General features: G+C 37.2%; 1 protein-coding gene across 12 annotated transcripts in view, besides 1 other annotated feature; it reads right to left on the bottom strand.

Moving 5' to 3' along the window:
* The window catches only part of RABGAP1L (RAB GTPase activating protein 1 like), an 835789-nt gene that overhangs the window by 489139 nt on the left and 322128 nt on the right, over nucleotides 1-24522 (bottom strand). The gene's annotated exons all lie outside the window — the stretch shown is intronic.
* Nucleotides 2431-2620: a silencer, noted in NCBI's record as "fragment chr1:174472688-174472877 (GRCh37/hg19 assembly coordinates)". NCBI's record gives its function as "represses an EF-1alpha promoter that drives an FKBP-Casp9 reporter gene in an ReSE screen in K562 erythroleukemia cells {active_cell/tissue: K562}" and the evidence as "EXISTENCE:reporter gene assay evidence [ECO:0000049][PMID:32094911]".

The following is a 24522-nucleotide window of genomic DNA, read 5'->3' as shown; positions in this document are numbered from 1 at the left end:
GTGTCCCTTGACCAACATCTTCCCAATCCTCCAGCCTCCAGCCTCTGGTAGTTAGCATTTTACTTTGTTTCTATGAGTTCAACTTTTTTAGATTGCACGTAAGAGATCATGTGGTATTTGACTTTCTGTGCCTAGTTTATTTCACAGAATATAACATCTTCCAGGTTCATTCATGTTTATGTATATGACAGAATTTCTAACTTTTTAAAGGCTGGATGGTATTCCATTATGTATTCACATTTTCTTTTTCCATTCATCCACTGATGGACTCAGGTTGATGACATATCCTGGCTATTGTGATTAATACTGCAATGAACATGGGAATGAAAATATCTCTTTGACATACTGATTACATTTCCTTTGGATATATACCCATTATTGGGATTACTGGATCCTATGGTGGTTCTATTTTTAATTTTTTTAGGAACATCCATGCTGTTTTCCATAATGGTTGTACCAATTTATATTCCCACCAACAGCGTGCAAGGGTTCCCTTTTCTCCACATCCTCATTGACACTTATCTTTTGTCTTTTTGCTAACAGTCATTCTAACAGGTGTGAAGTGACATTTTGGTTTTGATTTGCATTTTCCTGATGATTAGTGATGTTCAGCATTTTTTAGTATACAACTTCCTGTGTTTATTTCAAGTATTTTTCAGTACAAGCAAAAATTCAGAACACATTTTGTACAAAAAAAAAAAAGGTCTTCACAAATGCCCATGTGTTTGCTAGATTTTAAAATATGTACCGATATAATGTTTTGGGAATAAAGTTTGGGCCAAAATGTGAAAAAGAACTGGCTAGAGTAAACGAAATATTCTTGACTACCCTGATTCTAGGAAAATAAAATAAAACCTGACACTGTCTGCTGTTACCAAAAATCACAATCTAACAGCAAATGCCAGATGGATTTTAAATCATATTATAGCTTTTCTCAATCTGAAAGGTAAGGCTCCTCAAGGAGTCAAAGGAGAATTCTGCTTGTAGAGCTTTCCCAGACTTTTGCTTTGATCACTGCCAAATCTGTAAAGATATGCAAATTCCTCTTATAGCACTGAACATTTTTTTATATACCTGCTGGCCATTTTTATGTCTTCTTTTGAGAAGTGTCTATTCAGGTATTTTGCCCATTTTTAAATCAGGTTGTTTTCTTACAATTGAATTGATTCCTTATATATTTTGGATATTAACCCCTTATCAGATGTATGGTTGGCAAATATTTGCACCCATTCTGTAGGATGACTCCTCACCCTGTTGTTTCTTTTGCTGTGCAGAAGCTTTTTCATTTGATTCAATTCTATTTGTCTACCTTTGCTTCTGTTGCTTGTGCTTTTGGAATTATATCTAAAACATCATTGCCCAGACCAATGTCATGGAGCTTTTCCCCTACACTGTCTTCTAGTAGTTTTACAGTTTCAGGTTTTACATTTAAGTCTTCATTTTGACTTGAATTTTTGTATATGGTATGAAATGAGGCTCTAATTTCATTATTCTGCACATGGATATCCAGTTTTCCTAGGACCATTTATTGAAGAGACTGTCTTTTCCATCTTGTGTGTTCTTGGCATAGTTGTCAAAAATCAATTGACTATAAATGTATTTACTTCTGGGCCCTCTCTTCTGTTTTATTGGTCTATGGTTCTGTTTTTGTGCCAGTACCATGCCGTTTTGGTTATTATACCTGTGTATTGTATTTTGAAGTCAGGTTGTGTTATGCTTCCAGCTTTGTTTTTATTTGTTTGGTTTTTTTTTTTTCCCTCAAGTTTGCTTTGGCTATTCAGGGTCTAAACAGGATTTAAACAAATAAGATTTAAACAATCCTAAAACAAGTTTTAGGGTTATTTTTTCTATTTCTGTGAAAAAAGTTATTGGAATTTTGATAAAGGGTGTTGAGTCTGGCCAGGCGTGCTGGCTCATGCCTGTAATCCTAGCACTTTGGGAGGCCAAGGTGGGCACATCACTTGAGCTCAAGAGTTGGAGACAAGCCTGGGCAACATGGCGAAACCCTAACTCTACAAAAAACACAAAAATTAGCCAGGCATGGTGGCTGATACCTGTAGTCCCAGCTACTCAGGAGGCTAAGTTGAGAGGATGGCTTGAGCTCTGAAGGCGGCGTTTGTGGTGAGCCGAGATTACACCACTGCACTCCAGCCTAAGTAACAGAGCCAGACCTTGTCACAAAAAAAAAAAGAAAAGAAAAAAAAAAGAGTCTATTGAATCTGTAGATTGTTTTAGGTAGTATGGACATTTTAACAATATTAATTCTTCTAATCTATGAACACAGGATATATTCCCATTTGTTTGTGTCCTCTTCAATTTATTTCATCAATACTTTATAGTTTTCAGTGTAGAGGTCTTTCATCTCCTTGGTAAAATTTATTCCTGAGTAATTTTTTTGTAGCTATTGTAAATGGAATTGTTTTCTTCATTTCTTGTTTAGATAGTTCCTTATTACTGCATAGAACACAACTGATTTTTTTTGTATTTACATTTCTTTTTTTTTTTTTTTTTGACGGAGTCTCGCTCTGTTGCCCAGGCTGGAGTGCAGTGGTGCAATCTCGGCTCAGAGCAACCTCCGCCTCCCGAGTTCAGGCAATTCTCCTGCCTCAGCCTCCCCAGTAGCTGGGACTACAGGAGCCCATCACCACATCTGGCTAATTTTTTGTATTTTTAGTAGAGATGGGGTTTCACTGTGTTAGCCAAGATGGTCTTGATCTCCTCACCTCATGGTCCACCCACCTTGACCTCCCAAAGTGCTGGGATTACAGGCATGAGCCATCATGCTGGGCCTTACATGTATATTTCTAAATGATGAACTGCTATTTCCTGATTTTTAAAATTTGTTTTAATTATTGTGTAGCCAGATAGTAAATATCTTAGGCTTTGTGGGCCATATGGATTCTTTCTTGACAATTCATCTCTGCCATAGTGGCACCAGAGCAGCTGTAGACAATATGTAAATAAACAGGAGTAGCTGTGTTCCAATGAAACTTTATTTTGAAGTAACAGTGGGCAGCTGGATTTGGACTCCAGGTCATAGTTTGCAAACCCCTTATCTACTGACTTCGCAACATGGAAGATGAGAATACAGCACTTACCCACCCACCAACACATATGCCCATGGTCATGTCTGCACTCACATATGTATGTATGCACAAGCACATGAATGAACACACATACACACACTCTCTTCTACTACATCTATTACCCTAATATCATTATATCTCCAATTTAGGTTAATCACTATTTATTGTCTTATAACCACATATCTGTTATTCACAGTTAGGCCATATAATGTTCTATAATTATGTATTCTTGTTCAAGCTTGGTTTTTCCTAGAGTTAGTAACTGTGTCATTTTTGCATTTGAAAAGTTTCACTAATTCATCTCATATTCTCTGAAAGAATTTCTGGAATATTCTGGAATATAAATATATATATGTGTGTGTGTGTATATATATGCACATATATGTATATATACACACACATATATGTATATATACACACACACATATATATGTACATATATATACACACATATATATGTACATATATATACACACATATATGTACATATATATATATATATATATACCGTGTACTTTCTTCTGCATTATCTCTGTTTCTCTTGAGTTGTTTCCTGAGTTTCCTTTTTTTCTGTTTTGTGTTATTTGGTTTTCATTCACAATAAAGGTATTCCTTGAAAATCTAGTAATTCTAGACTATTTTATATATTAAATACTAAAGAACTAAAAGAACTAAAAATGTGATCAGAAGCTCTGTGGACTTCAGTGGGGTTTGTTCAAGGGTGTGCCTCATTGTCAGTGGAGTAGTGACCTGGCCAGCTCTTTGGGATTCTTTTCCTTTGGAATAGTCAGTTTCTCCAGAGACGAATCTGTCAATTATTGCCTATGTAATATAAATTTGGTTGCTAATATTCTGCCTGGCATTCTAGCTGCTTATAATAATTAATGAACTTTTTGCATACTTGTTGCTTATAAAAAGTTCACTATGTTAGCAAATTTATTTTTATATACATTTCAGTAACTATAAAGAGCACCAAATTCTGATGCATATTATAATTAATATAATTTTCTATTTATAATTTTCATGGTTTCTGCCTAATATTATATATTTTTCTTTCTTTTAATTAAGAGTTTCCAAAGATAATAGTAGTTCTAGTAAAACAGCAGAATTTTAGAAATGAAAGAAACCCGTAAACCTAGGTCAGCTCTATTTATAAAACTGAAAGTCAAAAAAAAAAACAGGTATCCTAAGAATCCCAGAAGGATATTTTCCCCTAGAAAGAGAGCATATATGCCATATCAAATATTCTCTAAATGGGTATTTTTTTCCCCACTGAAAACCTATTTGGAACCAAGAGCAATCAAGTGTTTTAGAAACACTAACACCTACTAAGTTATGGATTTTTAAAAAAATGTTAATAAAAAGATACTATCTCTTTAAAAAAACAAAAAGTAAAGTGTTATGCAATGGACTGTTAGTACATGGCAGCTCTTCCAAAAATTATTTTTTAAGCCAGCAATAAAAATGACAACTTACTACTGTCACTGAACAACTAAATCTTCTCACAATGCCTTAAATGCCCATCAGTGATGCAACTAAGAGATTTTACGAAGGCATAGCAGGAGAAAAGCAAGTAATAAAAGTAAACAAAGTGAGGCCAGGCACGGTGGCTCATGCCTGTAATCCCAGCACTTTGGGAGGCCGAGGCACATGGATCACTTTAGGTCAGGAGTGCAAGACCAGCCTGGCCAACATGGTGAAACCCCCTCTCTGCTTAAGGAGGTCGCCTGTAGTCCCAGCTACTCAGGAGACTGAGGCAGCAGAATCGCTTGAACCCGGGAGGCAGAGGTTGCAGTGAGCCGTGATGGCCCCAGTGCACTCTAGCCTGGGCGATAGAGTGAGACTCCATCTCAAAAAAAAAAAAAAAGAGTAAACAAAGTGAGAAAATCAAGTTAAGTTTAGAAAATGTAGGGTCTCAGAGGGCATGGAAGATTCTGTGTCTTTCCCAAGCTTTTGGCCTTGCCCTAGATTTTTGACTCCAGAAATACTAAGAGAACTGAGAGAAGTACATTTACAACAGGAAATGCTTATTCCTCAGTTTAGATCACTAAGGTTATTCTCTTAAGAAATTAGAAAATGTTTAGTTTCTTCTACTCAATTAAGGCAATGAATTTGTAAAAAACAAATGACAAAAAAAGCAACTTGGTCTTTAATGTCAGCGGCAGGTAAAAAGACAGTCTCAATGATTCATCACTCCCATTTAATTATCAACCAATATCTACCAAATCTTTTATAGAAGGCCCATGTCCTCATGAGCACTGAGTTTTTTACTGGAACTCAGGGATACCATGCCTCCTTCCTTCCTTCTCAATCAGGAGCTGAGCTTTGCTATGAAATAAGAAATTATGGATAATAATATCTATATCAGAAGGTTATGGCATTAAATGAGTGTATGGGAGTTACTTGTCATATAGACACTTAATAAACTACGGTTCCTATCCCTTTGTTTTCGTTTAACTGTATTTACTATACCCTACTTCTATAATACTTATCACACTACTGTGATTGTCAATCAGTTCCTTTCACTATGAATATCTGCAGGGTAGGAACTTTATAGTTCTCATTTCATGCACAGTACCCAGTGCATAACAGGGTCTCAAGTGAACAAATCAAACTAACAGAGCCTCACACTTTAAATGAATGATACATTGAGGGGGCCAGTATGTGGTACAATGAACAGCGTTCCACTTATAAGAAACCCACCGGCTGAGCTCAGTGGCTCACACCTGTAATGCCAGCACTTTGGGAGGCCGAGAAGGGTGGATTACCTGAGGTCAGAAGTTTGAGACCACCCTGGCCAATGTGGTAAAACCCTGTCTCTACTAAAAATACAAAAATTAGCTGGGCGTAGTGGTGTGCGCCTGTAATCTCAGCTACTCTGAAAGCTGAGGCAGGAGAATCGCTTGAACCCGGGAGGCGGAGGTTGCAGTGAGTTGAGATCGCATCATTGCAGTCTAGCCTGGGCTACAAGAGCAAAACTCCATCTCAAAAAAAAAAAAAAAAGAAGAAGCCTGCCACAAGTAATTTATACTGGGTAAATCACTTCACTACTCCAAACATAATTTTCTTTCTTGTAAAATAAGAGGTTTGGACTAAATGATCCCCAAATTCCCTTCAGCTCTAAAAGTTTATGATTACATAACTATGACTCTAAACAGTTTAGAAGTTATTAGGGTCTAAAATTAATAACATTATAATATATGAACTTAAAAGAGAGTCCCAGGAACAGAAATTGAAAACAGAGAGAGAAAGCTATGAAAGTGATGTGATATATGTTTCAGATTTGATTTTATTTTCTCACACTATACAACACTAGAACTGTTGTCATTGCTACAATTAGCAACAACTACCATTTACCAACCCTCAATAAGTGCCAGGCACTGCGCTAAACATCTTATCATTTCATCTTCACAATAATTCGTTGAGATAATTGCCATCACTCCCATTTCATAACCAAGGAAACTGAGGCTCGGAATGGTAGCCCAAGGTAACATTGCTTGAAATGGATGAAGCTCTGACTCAGGCCAATGTGTGTTTGATGCCAAAACCCACCACTAAGAATCCATGTTTCTAGGTATCCAAGCTTTCCAATACTATATAAAATAACCTCAATACTTGTAAACATCAAATTGAAATCCAACAAAAAAGTAAAAACAATAATCCACATTTTGTTATTTTCTATGCCAAAATATACCTGTAGTTTTCCTAAATGTTCTAAGTCATATGAACGGTATACACTAATTTGAAAATCTTTGAAGATTACAATCATCTTTCTACTATGCTATTAATTTTAAAATTAATCCACATAAAATAACTTAAATTTTTTTAATTTAAGTGTTTTTAACTTAAATTTCTAAGTTCTGTAAAAGATTTAATCAAGAATATATAAACTATAAGAATATATGAACTGTAAGCCACTCCCCATATCATAATGCATTATATGTGGTAGCAATTTTGCATAAAGAAACTCATTTTTAATTTTCCCCCCAGTTCTACTGGATATGTTCATTGTGATATTTTGGCCTTTTGTAAGATTGAAAAAAAATGAGGGGGTAAATAATTACAACTTACTAATAATTAGAAAACCTACTCTACTTATTAAAATAATTCCTAATGTTATCCAAAAGGAATTTAAACTATAAACAAAAATTCTCTACAGAAATCAAAGAAAATAATATCAAATTTATTTCACTAGATAACATATCAAAGAGTCAATTCTTGGCTTTTTGAGGAGAAAGTAATGCTAAAAAGTCACAATTAAAATTTTGTTTCAGGCCAGGCGCGGTGGCTCACACCTGTAATCCTAGCACTTTGGGAGGCCGAGGTTGGTAGGTCACTTGAGGTCGCGAGTTCAAGACCAGCCTGGCCAATAGGGTGAAACCCCATCTTTACTAAAAATACAAAAAAAAAAAAAAAAAATTTAGCCGGGCGTGGTGGCATGCGCCTGTAATCCCACCTACTCAGGAAGCTGAGGCAGGAGAATTATCTGAACCCAGGAGGCAGAGGTTTCAGTGAGCCGAGATCGCATACCACTGCACTCCAGCCTGGGCAACAAAGCAAAACTCTCTCAAAAAAATAAAAAATAAAAAATAAAAATAAAATAACGTTTTGTTTCAGTTTAAATATATGTATTTCCCATATCCATAAGTTCAATAGACCTGGTTTTTCAAAGTCGCACAGTAATAATAACAAATCATTAAAATGAAGCTTGTAAAACCAATTTGAATTCAACAAGACCTTTTAATTAATTAGCATTCCTAAGCAATATGTGAATATTACAAACATAATCACGTATGGTTAATATTTATGGAAGCATATGCATATTTCTATAAATATATGTAGTTAGGTTTACATATACATTCATATATTACTTCACTCTTCTTTTGTTGAATATACTCTTCTCAATTATCATATTTCAAATCTAAATGAAAAATACATATCAGTGAATTCAAAGCTAAAAAAAACTTAAAGGCCTAAATGATATTATCTTTTCCAAGCATAATTTGGAACTTTAAAAATGTGAAATAAAAAAATAAAACTTGTTTTAAAATAAGCCTCTAAGGTAATGCACTTTCAGGGATTTTATCTTTCCTTTTGGGAGGTATTATAGTGATCACTCTATAGATAAGAACTCTGAGATAAAATCAGTCAGTAAAATTAATTTGAAGACAGTCACTGTCAGAGCTACTAATACTGTAACATGTAACTCCCTGACATTAATAGAGATACTCAACAACAGATGAAGTAGCTAATCAGTTTCTTCAGTTAAGCAAATCAATAACCAACCTACACAGGGTTCTTGGAATCTTTTGTTCAAATGACAAGGTCACTGCTCTTTATAAGCAGTCTTTGTTGGACTGAGAGAGAGAAAATAAAAACAGCAAGGGAATCTGTAAGAAGCTGCCAATGACAAAAGGGCAAAGAGTGGGAGGGAAAGAGGAGCATAAGAACAGGCTCAGAGAATCAGTGTGCCAGAAAGACCTCAGGCAATAAAAGGAGGGAAATAGAATTCATGCAACAGAGAAGGACCAGAAAACCAAATGGGACAAGGGAGTGGGGGAGAAGGAACATGGGAAGACAGAATTTACACAAACACAGTAAGGTTTTGAAGGACAGGGCTGAAAACAAAAATGCAAGGCAGTGGAAGGCAATATAGCTTCCTTATTTAAGAGAATGAACTTCAAAGTATACATGGAAGTTCCTTAACTTGCAGTTTCCTCATATACAGCACATTGATCCTTGCAAAGTATTACATATGGGCACAGTGCTGGATACATAATAAACACTCACTAATGTTAGCTATTACTATACTTGATAAAAGGAAAAGAGATCCTATTTAAGTTAATGTGATATGGTGAAGATATGATGGAATATTTCAGTAAAGATAGCTACAGGCAACCAGAAGTTGCTATATACTCACACAAAATTCTATTAATATTAAAGCTAATAGAAAAAATATAGAAACTTGTGTATGTTGCCATATGATTTACCCTTGGGTATGCCTTACATGTGGTAGAAGAACCTAGAGAGATACTCCCCAGTAGTGTGTGCACATGTGTGTGTATGCTGGAGAAGGGTGATAAAATTTATACACAATGACTGAGACATTCAAGAAATATATAATTTCATTTCTACATTTTATATCATTTTTCTCTGCAGCATCGATTTTCTCTAATAGTGATGGGTGTGGGTAGGATGGGCAGTTGTCACAAATTTACCAACTAAACATAACTTGGTCTCCTAGTTTAAAGCAGTCTCTTTCAGGCAAACAATCTTTCCATAAAAAGTCCAACTTCTTTAAGGAATCTCTCTACTCTCTCTTCATTCCTGGGATGGCAACTAGGTACAAGGAGGAAGCTGAGTTGTTTCATGGTCATGGTGGAGAGGACACGCGTGCTAGTTCACTTGCTGTAGGTCAGGCAATTGGTTGCCTTCAATTGAGATATTTATCACTTGACCTGGTCACTAAATATCCTGTGCTTGTTGTGTTCACTGAGATTTGGCTGGTCTTCTTGGCAACCACTACTGATGCCCTCAAATTTTGCTGTATCTTCTGGTTTTAAGGTCCAAGTATTCTGCAGCCTCCATGCTCTGTTTATAGGCTTTGGCCAGTCTACCAGTGCTCTTAGAAGTTCTCTATCCCTTAGAGGGTCGTCTTTCTCAGACAATCTTGCTGTTCTCAGATTCTCTCCAGAACCTAACTGACTGTTTTCACTATTACTATCACTATCACTGTCAATACCTCCCTGTTTCCTACTTTTGAAGTTCAGCTCCTGAAAAGGTATACAGGGGAATAAAGACACTGACCTACGGCTCTTCTTCTCAACACTGGAAAGGATTTTCCTTCTAATGTGGCAAAAATTGTCCATGTATCATCTTCAGTCCTTTCTACACCATAGAGTATAGTGGAATTATGTACAGATTTTCAAATTTTGTTAATACATATTGTGAAATTTCTAGAATTTAGAAAATCTTCATTTGTTTCAGGAAAAAACCCTAAACTTTCATGTCTACAGTTTGACATAGAAAAAAAAATTTAAACTCAAAGTTAAAAATATTAGTCTTGGCTGGATGTGGTGGCTTACATCTGTAATCCCAGCACACTGGCAGGCTGAGGCAGGAGAAATGCTTGTGTCCAGGGTTCGAGAGCAACCTGGGTAACACAGCAAGATCTCATCTCTAAAAAATAAAATAAGTCTTTGACCTAGTAATTCTACTCCTGGGAATTTATCCTATCGATAAACTCATATGTGTGCAAAATGATGTGTGGCTAGGGATTTTCACCGCAGCATCATTTGTGAAAGCATAAGATGAGGAACTGAAGTAATATCTACCAGTAAGATATGATTACTATAACTAATTAAAAAGAATGAGGTAGTTTAATATGTACCAATCTAGAACTATAGCAAAGGTATTACTTGAAAAAAGCAAGGTGTACAAGAGTGTAAACTATGTACTGTTTGTGTATACAGAACTGAATGACAAAGAGAAAGAATGCTGGTGGGTTGGGGAGAAAGAAGGAGGAGATTTATGTACAATTAGATCCTTTTGGATCTTTTGAATTTTGTTCCTGAAGAAGTATTTTACATTAAGATAAGAATTTATTTTTATAAAATGTAAGTCTCAGAGCTGAGCAATTACTCCTACATTTTAGACTGTATCTACCTCTCTCCTGAAATAATGAATGCAGATGATTCCATAGGTGAATGGGGGAAGAGCTAGAAAAAGAGGAGCAAGGGAAAACTTGGGGGGAAAAAAAGTATATTGTTTTAATAATCCCTAAAGATTACTCACATCCCCATAGAAACTAAGCTAAATTTCACTCTCTGACTTTCACTCCATGAATTTGTGAGACTAGAAGTTACACTGAAACAATGAGAGTTCATGATATATATCTTCCAGAGGGAGGCAGTTTCCATCAGACACACCACTTATGGTAAAAAGAATCCCCAGACTAGGGCAAACACTCATTATAAGCCTTACAACCCAGGCTGCAGAGTACTACATGCTTTGGGGAAGTTAGAAGCTAACCACAGGCAATTCAATTCTTCTAAAGGAGGATAAGGGATTGATAAGGGGGTCAATGCTAGAAGGTAAATTATTTTCTTACCAAAGGTGTCTTCCCTGCCCTGTAGAAACTGAGCATCCCTCAGTAGGCAGGACTTGGCAAAGACTTATCGACTTGATGCACTCAAGTCTCCCCAACTTTGACTTGTTTGTGTATATTCCAACACCCTCTCCCCTTTTTCCTGGCTATGAAAGAATGGGTACTAGTATTCCCTGCACCAGGTACTTCCTGCAGCCCCTAGTAACCTAGGTTCCAGGGTAAATGAAACCCACAGTGAAAGGTAGAGTCGGAGCAAATATGTATAAGAAGATGAGAGAAAAGTGGTTTAAAATGACATTCTAAAAGACCAGAGATTTTGGCTGTTAGGAATTCTTTCTACTGGCCACCTAAAAATTTTACGTTAGTAATGAAAACAGAGAAAATAAATTAGCTTTAACTTTAATCATCTAAATAGGAGGCAAAACAATTAATGATTAAGACTCTGAAACCAGATATTCATAGGCCCAAATCTCCAGAAATAATTTCATTTCACATGGAAAACCAAGAAAACTTTGTAAATTATAATTACTTTGTAGGAATTATCTCCAAGGAAAACTTTTCCCTAATAAAACAACAACAATAATTCAACGGAGGATGAGATGAATAGAGTGTCAAAGTCTACTGAGCAGGTCTGTGGTGCTTTAAATAGCAGCAAAACAGAACAAATTTCCTTTCCTATCATATTTTTACAAGGAACAGCACCTATTGTCCCAAGGGAAAAACAGAACATCAACACAAAAGCAGCATGGCTGAAGATGTCTGTGGCTTTATCTGCAGGAGCCCATCAACAGACATAAACCCATTTACCTCTACATAAACCTTTCCAAACCACCAACAGAGTATTATTTTCAAAAGAAATAGATCAATGCCATTTTCTTTCTTAAAAAACTATACACGATGTTCTAAATATATACTCCCAAAATTACTAGGCTCCAAAGAAGGAAAGTCAGAAAAAATAAAATTATTTGTTTGAAAAATACCATCTAACTGAAAAATGGCAACTGCCAAAAAGTATTTAAGTTCAAATATAAATGTGAAACAATGTCAAGATGTCAACTTTGAACTCTGGATAAACCTCAAATACCTTACTTAAAAGTAGATTTTGCTGTTACAGGAGGTTACATTCTGCCTATACTTTTTTTTTTTTTTTTTTTTCAGACAGGGTCTCACTCCCATTTCCCAGGCTGAAGTGCACTGACATGATCTCGGCTCACTGCAGCCTCAACCTCACGGAGTCAGGTGATTCTCCCACCTCAGCCTCCCAAGTAGCTGAAACTACAGGTGCACACCACCATGCCAGGCTGATTTTTCGTATTTTCAGTAGAGACAAAGTTTTGCCATGTTGCCCAGGCTGGTCTTGAACTCCTGGACTCAAGCAATCCACCCACCTCAGCCTCCCAAAGTGCTAGGATTACACGCATGAACCACCACATCTGGCCAAGCCTATAAAATTATCATCAACTTTAATATTGGGTAGGGCTATGAACTTCAACAAATGAGCTAATAAACAACCTAAAAACAATATTCATATCTACCTAGACTGAGAGTATTATTTTGGACACATCTGAGATTACTAGTAAATTTCATGAGTGTTATTCTAGATATAAATTTTCTTATATATTTTTCTCTGCTCTGTTGCCCAGGCTGAAGTACAGTAGTGTGATTCTAGCTCACTGCAGCCTCAAACTCCTAAGCTCAAGCACCTCCCCACCTCAGTCTCCCAAGTAGCTAGGACTACAGGCATGTACCAACACACCTGGCTAAAATTTTGTTTAACTTTTTGCAGTGACAGGATCTAGTATGTTACCTAGACTGGTCTCAAACTCTTGGGCTAAGGCAAGCCTCCTGCCTCAGCCTCCAAAGTGCGAGATTACAGGTGTGAGTCACTGTGCCTGGTCTAAATATTTATTAAAATATACATTATGCCAAGCCTGGGAATGCAACAATGATGAAAAAGAGACATAGTCCCTAACCTCATGGAGCTTAAAGCCTAATGAAAAAGATAATTAAATGGACAATAATGCTGCAATGTATTAAGGCTACGGTGGAAGTACAAGGTGCTATGGAAACAAAAAGTGAGTATACCTGCTTATACATATGGAAGAGGGGAAGGAAAGGCAGTGAGTGATGAAGGAAGAAACCCTTCACAAAAGGCTTAAGATTTAAATCAAAATTTTTAAAATCCGTAGGACTTATTCAAAGGGAAGGAGAACAAAGCCTTCATGTAATGGAAGTATTATTTGTGTAAGAGAGGAGGAATAGGGACAGTACAGTTGAGGCAGGGTGGGTGGAGATAAGAATACAGTGCATTTGAAGAATTAAAAGTAGACCAGGCACGGTGGCTCATGCCTGTAATCCTAGCACTTTGGGAGGCTGAGGCAGGCGGATCGCCTGAGGTCAGGAGTTCGAGACCAGCCTGGCTAACACAGTGAAACCCCGTCTCTACTAAAATTACAAAAGAACTAGCCGAGAGTGGTGGCATGTGCCTGTAAACCTAGCTACTCAGGAGGCTTAGATGGAGAATCGCTTGAATCTGCGAGGCAGAGGTTGCAGTGAGCCAAGATCGTGCCACTGCACTCCAGCCTGGGCGACAAGAGCGAGACTCCATCTCAAAAAAAAAAAAAAAAAATTAGTCAGGCGTGGTGGCATGCACCTGTAATCCCAGCTACTCGGGAGGTTGAGGCAGGAGAATCACTTGAACCTGGGAGGCGGAGGTTGCAGTGAGCCAAGGTTATGCCACTGTACTCCAGTCTGAGCAATAAGAGTGAAATTTTGTCTCAAAAAAAAAAAAAAAAAAAAAGTAATTCGACATAGAGGGTGGAGCAAGATGGCGGAATAGAAAGCTACACTGATTGTCTTCCCAAGAGGAATACCAAATTTATTAACTACACCAAAAAAGCACCTTCTAAGAACCAAAAATCAGGTAAGCATTCACACTACCTGGTTTTAACTGAATATTACAGAAAGAGGCATTGAATAGGGCAGGAAAAAGTCTTGAACTGCCAACACAATCATTCCCTCATCCCCCAGCAGTGGCTGCATGGCAAGAAGAATCTGTGCATCTGGGGAGAAAGAATGCAGTGATTGTGACACGCTGCACTTAATTCAGTGCTGTCCTGTCATAGCAAAAGCAGAACCAGGCTGTACTTAGCTGACAGCCACTCATGGAAGGAGCATATGGACTGGCTCTAGCCAGATGGGAATCACCCATCTGAGCAGTCAAAATCTGAGTTCCAGCAAGCCTTGCCACTGCAGGATGGAGTGCTCTGGGCACCTAAATAAACTTGAAAGGCAATCTAGGCCATAAGGACTCTAAGTCGTAGGTGAGTCCTTGTGCTGGGCTGGTGTCAGAGCCAGTGGACTGGGGGGACATGTAACTTACTGAGACACCAGACACAATGGTTAATACAGTGCTTGCACCACCCTCCTCCAGCTCCAGGCTGCAAAAGAGACCCCTTGTGGCTCCAAAAGGGACCCCTTGCTTCTGCTTGAGGAGAGGAAAGGGAAGAGTAAAGAGGATTTTAACTTGCATCTTGGATACCAGCTCAGCCACAGTAGGATAGGGTACCAGACAATGTTGTGAGACCCCCATTTCAGGCCTTAGCTCCCAGAAAGTATTTTGAGAAACTCCCTCAGCCAGAAGGGAACGCATTGACTTGAAAGGAAGTACCCAGTCATGGCAGATCCCATCACCTGTGGACTAAAGAACCCTTTGGCCCTGAATAACCAATGCAATACTCATGGAGTATGCCATGGGTTTTGGGTGAGACTCTGAGACATGTTGGCTTCAGGTGAGACACAGCACTTTCCCAGCTGTGGTAGCTATGATGACAGACTCCATCTACTCGAAGAAAGCAGAGGAAAAAGTAAACAGGACTTTGTCTTGCATCTTAGGTACCAGCTAGGCCACAGGGAGATAGAGCATGAGGCAGGTTCTTGGGGTCCCCGATTCCAGGCCTTGGCTTTTAGATGGCATTTCTGAGTCTGCCATGGGCCAGAGGGGAGCCCACCACCCTGAAGGGTGAGTCCTAGGTCAGGCAACATTCACCATAAGCTGACTAAAGAGCACTTGGGCTTTAAATGAACATTGGTGGAAGCCTGGCAGTACTCCCCATGGGCCTGTGTTGGTGATGGCCGTGGGCTGAGGCTCCTCTGCTTGTGGAAAGAGGAGGGAAGAACGGGAAAAACCGTGACTCGTGGCTTAGGCTCAGGCACAGTACAATGGAACATCAGGTAGATTTAGAAGGTTTTCATTCTAGTCCCTAGCACCTGGACAGCTACTCTAGACCCATTTGGGCCTAAGGGAACTCACTACCCTGAAAGGAAAAACACAAGACTTTCTGGCATTGCTACCTGCTGATTGTAGAGCCCTAGGGCCTTCAGAGAACATAGGCGATAACCTGGTAGTGGTTATACTGGGCCTTGAGTGAGACAAAATGCTATGCTGGCTCCAGGTCTGACCCAGTGCAATCCCAGTGGTGGTAACCACAGGGGCACTTGTATCAACCCACAGCTCCAGGCAGCTCAACATAGAGAGAACTCTGTTGGTTTGGAAGAAAGCAAGGGAAGAGAACAAGTGTCTCTGCCTGGTAATCCACAGAACTCTTCCAGATCTTATCTAAGACCACGAAGGCGGCATCTTATGAGTCTGTAAGAACCACAGTGTTACCGGGCTTGGGGTGCCCCTTCATGCAGGCAGTGCTTAGATCACAACACCCAAGTACTTGAGAATTCCTGGAAAGCCTTCCCAAGAAAGACCGTTACAAATAAGCCCAGAATGAGAAGACTACAATAAATACCTAACCCTTCAATGTCCAGACACCAAAGAATATCTACAACCATCAACATAATCCAGGAAAGCATGACCTCACCAAACAAACTAAATAGGGCACCAGGGACCACTCTTGGAGAAAGAGACACATGGTACCTTTCAGACAGAGAATTCAAAATACCTGTTTTGAGAAAACACAAAGAAATTCAAGATAACTCAGAGAAGGAATTCAAAATTCTATCACATGAACTGAACAAAGAGATTGAAATAATTAAAAAGAATAAAGCAGAAATTCTGGATTTGAAAAATACAGTTGATCAAGCAGAAGAAAGAATTAGTGACCTTTAAGATAAACTATTTGTATAGTACTCCATAGTGTAAATATGTCACATTTTTCTTAGTCCAGTCTATCATTGATGGACATTTGGGTTGGTTCCAAGTCTTTGCTATTGTGAATAGTGGCGCAATAAACATACGTGTGCACGTGTCTTGATAGCAGCATGATTTATAATCCTTTGGGTATATACCCAGTAATGGGATGGCTGGGTCAAATGCTATTTCTAGTTCTAGATCCTTGAGGAATCGCCACACTGTCTTCCACAATGGTTGAACTAGTTTACAGTCCCACCAACCATATAAAAGTGTTCCTATTTCTCCACATCCTCTCCAGCACCTGTTGTTTCCTGACTTTTTAATGATCGCCATTCTAACTGGTGTGAGATGGTATCTCATTGTGGTTTTGATTTGCATTTCTCTGATGGCCAGTGATGATGAGCATTTTTTCATATGTCTGTTGGCTGCATAAATGTCTTCTTTTGAGAAGTGTCTGTTCATATCCTTCGTCCACTTTTTGATGGGGTTGTTTGATTTTTTCTTGTAAATTTGTTTAAGTTCTTTGTAGATTCTGGATATTAGCCCTTTGTCAGATGGGTAGATTGCAAAAATTTTCTCCCATTCTGTAGGTTGCCTGTTCACTCTGATGGTAGCTTCTTTTATTGTGCAGAAGCTCTTTAGTTTAATTAGATCCCATTTGTCTATTTTGGCTTTTGTTGCCATTGTTTTTGGTGTTTTAGTCATGAAGTCCTTGCCCATGCCTATGTCCTGAATGGAATCATGTCCTTTGTAGCGACATGGATGAAGCTAGAAACCATCATTCTGAGCAAACTATTGCAAGGACAGAAAACCAAACACCGCATGTTCTCACTCATAGGTGGGAAGTGAACAATGAGAACACTTGGCAACACAGGGTGGGGAACATCACACACTGGGACCTGTTGTGGGGTGGGGGGAGGGGGGAGGGATAGCATTAGGAGAAATACCTAATGTAAATGATGAGTTAATGGGTGCAGCACATTAACATGGCACATGTATACATATGTAACTAACCTGCATGTTGTGCACATGTACCCTAGAACTTAAAATATAATAATAAAAATAGACAAAAAAGACAAACTATTTGAAAATACACACTCAGAGGACATAATAGAAAAAAAAATGAAGCACACCTAGAAGATTTACAGAGTAGCCTCAAAAAAGCAAAGCTAAGAGTTATTGGCCTTAAAAAAATGTAGAGAATGAGATAAGGTTAGAAAGTTTATCCAAAGAGATAATAGCAAAGAATTTCACAAACCTAGAGAATGCTATCAAAATCCAAGTACAAGAAGCTAATAGAACACCAAGCAGATTTAACCCAAAGAGGACTACTTCAAAACATTTAATAGTTAAACTCCCAAAGGTTAAGGATAAAAAAAGTATCCTAAAAGCAGCAAGAGAAGAGAAACAAATAACATACAATGGAGCTCTAAGTCAGACAGTAAGCTAAGTGGAAACCTTATGGGCCAGGAGACAGTGGCATGACATATGTAAACTGCTAAAGAAAAAAAAAAAACTTTTATCCTGGAATAGTATACCTGGTGAAAATATCCTTCAAACATGAGGGAGAAATACAGACTTTCTCAAAGAAACAAAAGCCAAAGGCCTTAAACACTAGATCTGTTCTACAAGAAGTGCTAAAGAGAGTAGTTCAATCAGAAAGAAAAGGACATTAATGAGCAATAAGAAATAAACTGAAAGTACAAACTCACTAGTAACAGTAAATACACAGAAAAAAACCCCACAGAATATTATAAAACTGTAACTGTGGTATATAAACTTCTCTTATATTAAATAGAAAGATTAAAATATGAGCCAACAGAAAATAGTAACTACTACAATTTTTGAAATCAGGCAGTATAATAAGATATAAATAGAAGCAACAAAAGATTAACTATCTGGGGGATGAAGTTAACATGTAGAGTTTTCACTCAGTTTTCTTTTTGCTTGTTTATACAAACAGTGTGAAGTTGTTATAGCTTAAAATAATGGGTTATAAGATATTACTTGCAAGTCTCACGGTAACCTCAAATCAGAAAACATACAACAGATACACAAAAAAATAAAAAGCAAGAAATTAAATCATACCAACAGAGAAAATCACCTTAACCAAAAGGAAGACAGGAAGGAAGGAAAGAGGGATAAGAAGACCACGAAACAACCAAAACCAAATAGGCAGTAGTAAGTCTTTAATTACCAATAATAACATTGAATGTAAATGAACTAAACTCTACAATAAAAAGACACAAAGTGGCTGAATGGATAAAGAAACAAGACTCAATGATCTGTTGCCTACAAGAAAAACACTTTACCTAAAAAGACATATGTAGACTAAAACCAAAGGAATGGAAAAAGATATTCCATCCCAATGGAAACCAAAAAAGTAGGAGTAGTTATAGTTCTAATAGACAAAATAGATTTCAAGACAAAACTATAAGAAGAGACAAAGAAGGTCACTATATAATGATAAAAGGGTCAGTTCTGCAAAAGGATATAACAATTTTAAGTATCTATGGACCCAACACTGGAAAACTCAGATATATAAAGCAAATATTATTAGAGCTAAAGAGTAGCTCTAATAAACCCCAATAGAGTAACAGCTGGAGACTTCAACACCCCACTTTCAGCATTACACAGATCTTCCAGACAGAAAATCAACAAGGAAACATCAGTTAAATCTGCACTATAGAACAAATGAACCTACTAGATATTTACAGAACATTTCATTCAACAGTTGAAGAATACACCTTCTTTTCCTCAGCACATGGATCAATTTCAAGGACAGATCATATGTTAAGTCACAAAATAAGTCTTAAAACATTAAAAAGAACTGAAAAAATATCAAGTGTCTAACCACAATGGAATAAAACTAGAAATTAGTAACAAGGAATTTTGAATACTATATAAATACATGAAATTAAACAATATGTTTCTGAATGATGAGTGAGTCAATAAGGAAATCAAGAAGGAAATTGAAAAATATCTTGTAAAAAAGATAATAAAAATATAACATACCAAAACCTACAGGATACAGCACTGAGAGGAAAGTTTATAGACATAAGAGCTTACATCAAAAAAGAAGAAAAACTTCATATAAACAACCTAACACTGTATCTTAAAGAACTAGAAAACCAAGAGTAAACCAAACTCAAAATTAGAAGAAAAGATGTAATAAAGATCAGAGCAGAGGCCGGGCGCGGTAGCTCATGTCTGTAATCCCAGCACTTTGGGAGGCCGAGGCGGGCAGATCACGAGGTCAGGGGATCGAGACCATCCTGGTGAACACAGTGAAACCGTGTCTCTACTAAAAATACGAAAAATTAGCTGGGTGTGGTGGCGGGTGCATGTAGTCCCAGCTACTCGGGAGGCTGAGGCAGGAGAATGGCACGAACCCAGGAGGTGGAACTTGCAGTGAGCCGAGATCACGCCACTGCACTCCAGCCTGGGCAACAGAGTGAGACTCCGTCTAAAAAAAAAAAAAAGATCAGAGCAGAAATAAATGAAACTGAAATGAAGAAAACAGAATAAAAGATCAATGAAACAAAAAATTGTTTTTTTAAAAGTTAAACAAAATTGACAAACATTTAGCCAGACAAAAAAAAAAAAAAAAGAAAAAAGAACCAAATAAATAGAATCAGAGGTGAAAAAGGAGATATTACAACTGATGCTGTAGATGTTCAAGGGATCAACAGTGGCTACTATGAGCAAACATAATTTCAATAAATTAGGAAATCTGGAAGAAATGTATAAATTCCTAGATATAGCCAACCTACCAAGAGTGAACAAGGAAGAAACCAAAAACCTGAACAGACCAATAACAAACAACAATACCAAAGCTGTAATGTTTCCCAGCAAAGAAAAGTCCAGGACCTGATGGCTTCGCTGCTGATTTCTACCAAACATTTAAAGAAGAAATAATATCAATCTGAATCAAACTATTTAGAAAAATAAAGGAGGAAGGAATCCTTACAAACTCACTCTACAAGGCCAGTATTACCCTTATACCAAAATCAGACAAAGACACATCAAAAAAGGAAATTACAGGCCAATATCATTGATGAATATTGATGCAAAAATCCTCAGCAAAGCACTAGCAGACCAAATTCAACAACACATTAGAAAGATCATTCATCATGGCCAAGTAGGATTTATCCCTGGAATGCAAGGATGATTCAACATATGCAAATCAATAAATGTGATACATCACATCAACAGAATAAAGGACACAAACCATATAATCATTTCCATTGAAGCTGAAAAAGCATTTCACAAAATTCCACATCCCTTCATGGTAAAAACCCTCCAAAAACTGGGGATAGAGGGAACATACCTCAACATAATAAAAACCACATACAACAGACCAACAACTAGTATTATACTGAACTGGGAAAAACTGAAAGCCTTTCCTCTAAGATCTAGAACATGACAAGAATGTCCACTGTCACCACTGTTATTCAACATAGTACTGAAAGTTCTAGCTAGAGCAGTCAGAAAAGAGAAGGATATAAAGAGCATCAAATCGGAAAGGAAGCAGTCAAATTATCCTTGTTTGCAAATGATATAATCTTACATTTGAAAAAACTAAAGACTCCACCAAAAAACTATTAGAACTGATAAACAAATTCAATAAAGTTGTAGCACACAAAATCAACATACAAAAACCATTTTTATAACAGTAAACAATCTGAAAAAGAAATTTAAAAAGTAATCCTATTTACAATAGCTGCAAATAAAATTAAATACCTAGGAATTAATCAAAGAAGTAAATGATCTCTACAATGAAAACTATGAAACACTTTTGAAAGAAATTAAAGAGCACACACACACACAAATGGATAGATATTTCATGTCCGTGTATCGGAAGACTCAATCTTGTTAAAATGTCCATATTACACAAAGCAATCAACAGATTCAGTGCAATCCCTATCAAAATACCAAAGATATTCTTCACAGAAATAGGGAAAACAATCCTGAAATTTACATGACAGCACAGAAACTCAGAATAGCCAAAGTTATCCTAAGCAAAAAGAACAGAACTGGAAGAATCACATTACTGACTTCAAATTATATGACAGAGCTACATAACCAAAACGGCACAGAATAGAGAACCTAGAAATAAACCCACACATCTACAATGAATTCATTTTTGACAAAGTTGCTCAGAAAATACATTGGGGAAAGGACAGTCTCTTCAATAAATGTTGTTGGGAAAACTGATTATCCATATGCAGAAGAACCCTATCTCTCACCATATACAAATATCAAATCAAAATGGATTAAAGACTTAAATCTAAGGTCTCATATTATAAAACCACTACAAGAAAATATTGGGGAAACTTTTAAGGACATTAGCCTGGGCAAAAATTTCTTGAGTAATACCACACAAGCACAGGCAACCAAAGCAAACATGGACAAATGGGATCACATCAAGGTAAAAATCTTCTGCATAGCAAAGGAAACAATGTACAAAGTCAAGCAACAACCCACAGAATGGGAGAAAATATCTGCAAACGACCCATCTGACAAGGGATTAATAACCAGAATCTATAAGGTTCTCAAACAACTCTATAGAAGAAAAATCTAACAATCTTATTAAAAAATGGGAAAACATCTGAATAAACATTTCTCCAAAGATGACATACGAATGACACACAGGTATATGTAAAGGTAATCAATATCACTGATCATCAGAGAAATGCAAATCAAAACTACGAGATATCTTTTCACCCCAGTTAAAATGGCTTTTATCCATGACAGGCAATAACAGATGCTGGCGAGGATGTGGAGAAAAGGGAACCTTCCTACACTGCTGGTGGAAATATAAATTAGTACAACCACTATGGAGAACAGTTTGGAGGCTCCTCAAAAAACTAAAAATAGAGCTACCATATGATCCAGCAATTCCACTATTGAGTATATAAACAAAAGAAAGGACATCAGAATATCAAAGAGATATCTGCACTCAAATGTTTATTGCAGCATTATTTACAATAACCAAGATTTTTTTTTTTTTTGAGATGGAGTTGTCACTCAGGCTGGTGTGCAGTGGTGCAATCATGGCTCAGTAGAACCTCCACCTTATGAATTCCAGTGATTCTCCTGCCTCAGTCTCCTGACTAGCTGGGATTACAGGCACCTGCCACAATGCCTGGCTAATTTTTGTATTTTTAGTAGAGACGAGGTTTCACCATGTTGGCCAGGCTGTTCTCAAACTTCTGACCACCTCAGCCTCCCAAAGTGCTGGGATTACAGGAGTAAAATAGCCAAGATTTGAAAGCAACTTAAGTGTCCATCGACAGATGAATGAATAAATAAAATGTGGTACATATCCACAATGAAGTACTATTCAGCCATAAAAAATAATGAGATACTGTCATTTGCAACAACATGGATGAAACGTGAAGTCACTATGTTAAGTGAAATAAGCCAGGCACAGAAAGACAGACATCGCATGTTCTCACTTAACTGTGGGAGCTAAAAATTAAAACAATTGACTCAGGGAGATAGAGAGTAGAAGGATGGTTACCAGAGGTTGAGAGGGGAAGTTGTGGCAGGGGGTGGGAGAGAAGTGGGGATGGTTAATGGGTACAAAAATAGAAAGTATGAGTAAAACCTAGTATTTGCTAGCATAACAGGGTAACTATAGTAAAACAAAAATAAATTCTACATTTTAAAACAACTAAAAAGGATATAATTATATTGTTTGAAATATAAAGGATAAATGCTTGAGGTGATGGATACCTCCACTTTCCCTGATGTGATTATTACATATTGCATGCATATATCAAAATATCTCATGTAATCCATAAATATAGACCTACCATGTACCCACAAAAATTAAAAATTAAAAAAATGCTAAAGGGTAATTTGTTTCTTAGAATGAATAAAGACATTTTCTCTTTATTTATCAATTCTATTTTTTCATTCATTCAATACTTATTGAGCTTCTACTATGTAGCAGCCCCACTGAACAACAGAGGTATCTTTTTCAAATTATGAAGCTCAAATAAAAAGAAATCAGAAAGCTGTGTATATGTACCAACCAATTTCTTTTTGTGTGAGGGCATGGTGGCTCACCCCTGTAATCCTGGCACTTTGAGAGTCCAAGGAGGGAGGATTGCTTGAGCCCAGCAGTTCGAGACCGGCCTGGGCAACATGATGAAACCCCATCTCTATAAAAATACAAAAATTACGTGGCACACTTGTAATTCCCAGCTATTAGAGGCTAAGGCAGGAGCATTTCTTGAGCCAGGAGGTAGAGGCTGCAGTGAGCCCAGATTGTGCCACTGCACTCCAGTCTGGGCAACAGAGCAAGACTCTGTTTTACAACATACAAAAAGAAAGAAGAATAAATCAATATATCTTATCTGGGCTCCTTCTTCACTGGGATAACTATATTATATAGAATTCCTTTGTAAAACAACCAAAAAACAGTGTAATAATGAACAAATTACCTCTAAAGGGAATTAAGCAAGTCTTGGAATAATGAGTTTTATTTTCCTATTTTACTTATCCCTTTGTCTCTGAATTTTTAGTATTTATTTTACAATTTGGTAAGTCGTAAGTCTGACATGGGTCTCACTAGACTAAAATCAACACATCAGCTGCATTCCTTTTGGAGGCTCTGGGGGGAAATCTATTTTCTTGCCTTTTATTTGCCTTTCCTAGTTTTTAAAGGTTTCCCACATTCCTTGCTCATGGTTCTTTTCTTCCATCTTTAAAGCAAGGGATGAGATCTCACATGGTATCACTCTGACTCTCTCTTCTGACTCCCTCTTTTATTTCTAAAGATGTTTGTGATTACAATAGGCCCACTAGCATAATCCAGATTAATCTCCACATTTTAAGATCAACTGATTAACAGGTTTAATTCCAACTTAATTTGACTTTGCCCTGTAACCTAACATATTCAGTGGTTTCTTTTTTTTTTCTTTTTTTTTCTTTTTTTTTTTATTTTTTATTATACTTTAAGTTTTAGGGTACATGTGCACATTGTGCAGGTTAGTTACATATGTATACATGTGCCATGCTGGTGCGCTGCACCCACTAACTCAAAGAATAAGACATGGGGATCTTTGGGGTGCCATTATTCTCCCTACCACAGTATATTAAGAAAAATATTTAAAGATTTCTAATAATGCACAGCATTGCAGAAGCTACAGTGATGATTTCTCTCCTTTTTTTAT

Source organism: Homo sapiens, chromosome 1 (assembly GCF_000001405.40).
Source record: "Homo sapiens chromosome 1, GRCh38.p14 Primary Assembly".
In the NCBI taxonomy this organism is placed as follows: domain Eukaryota; kingdom Metazoa; phylum Chordata; class Mammalia; order Primates; family Hominidae; genus Homo; species Homo sapiens.
This window is presented reverse-complemented; position numbering and strand designations above follow the sequence as displayed.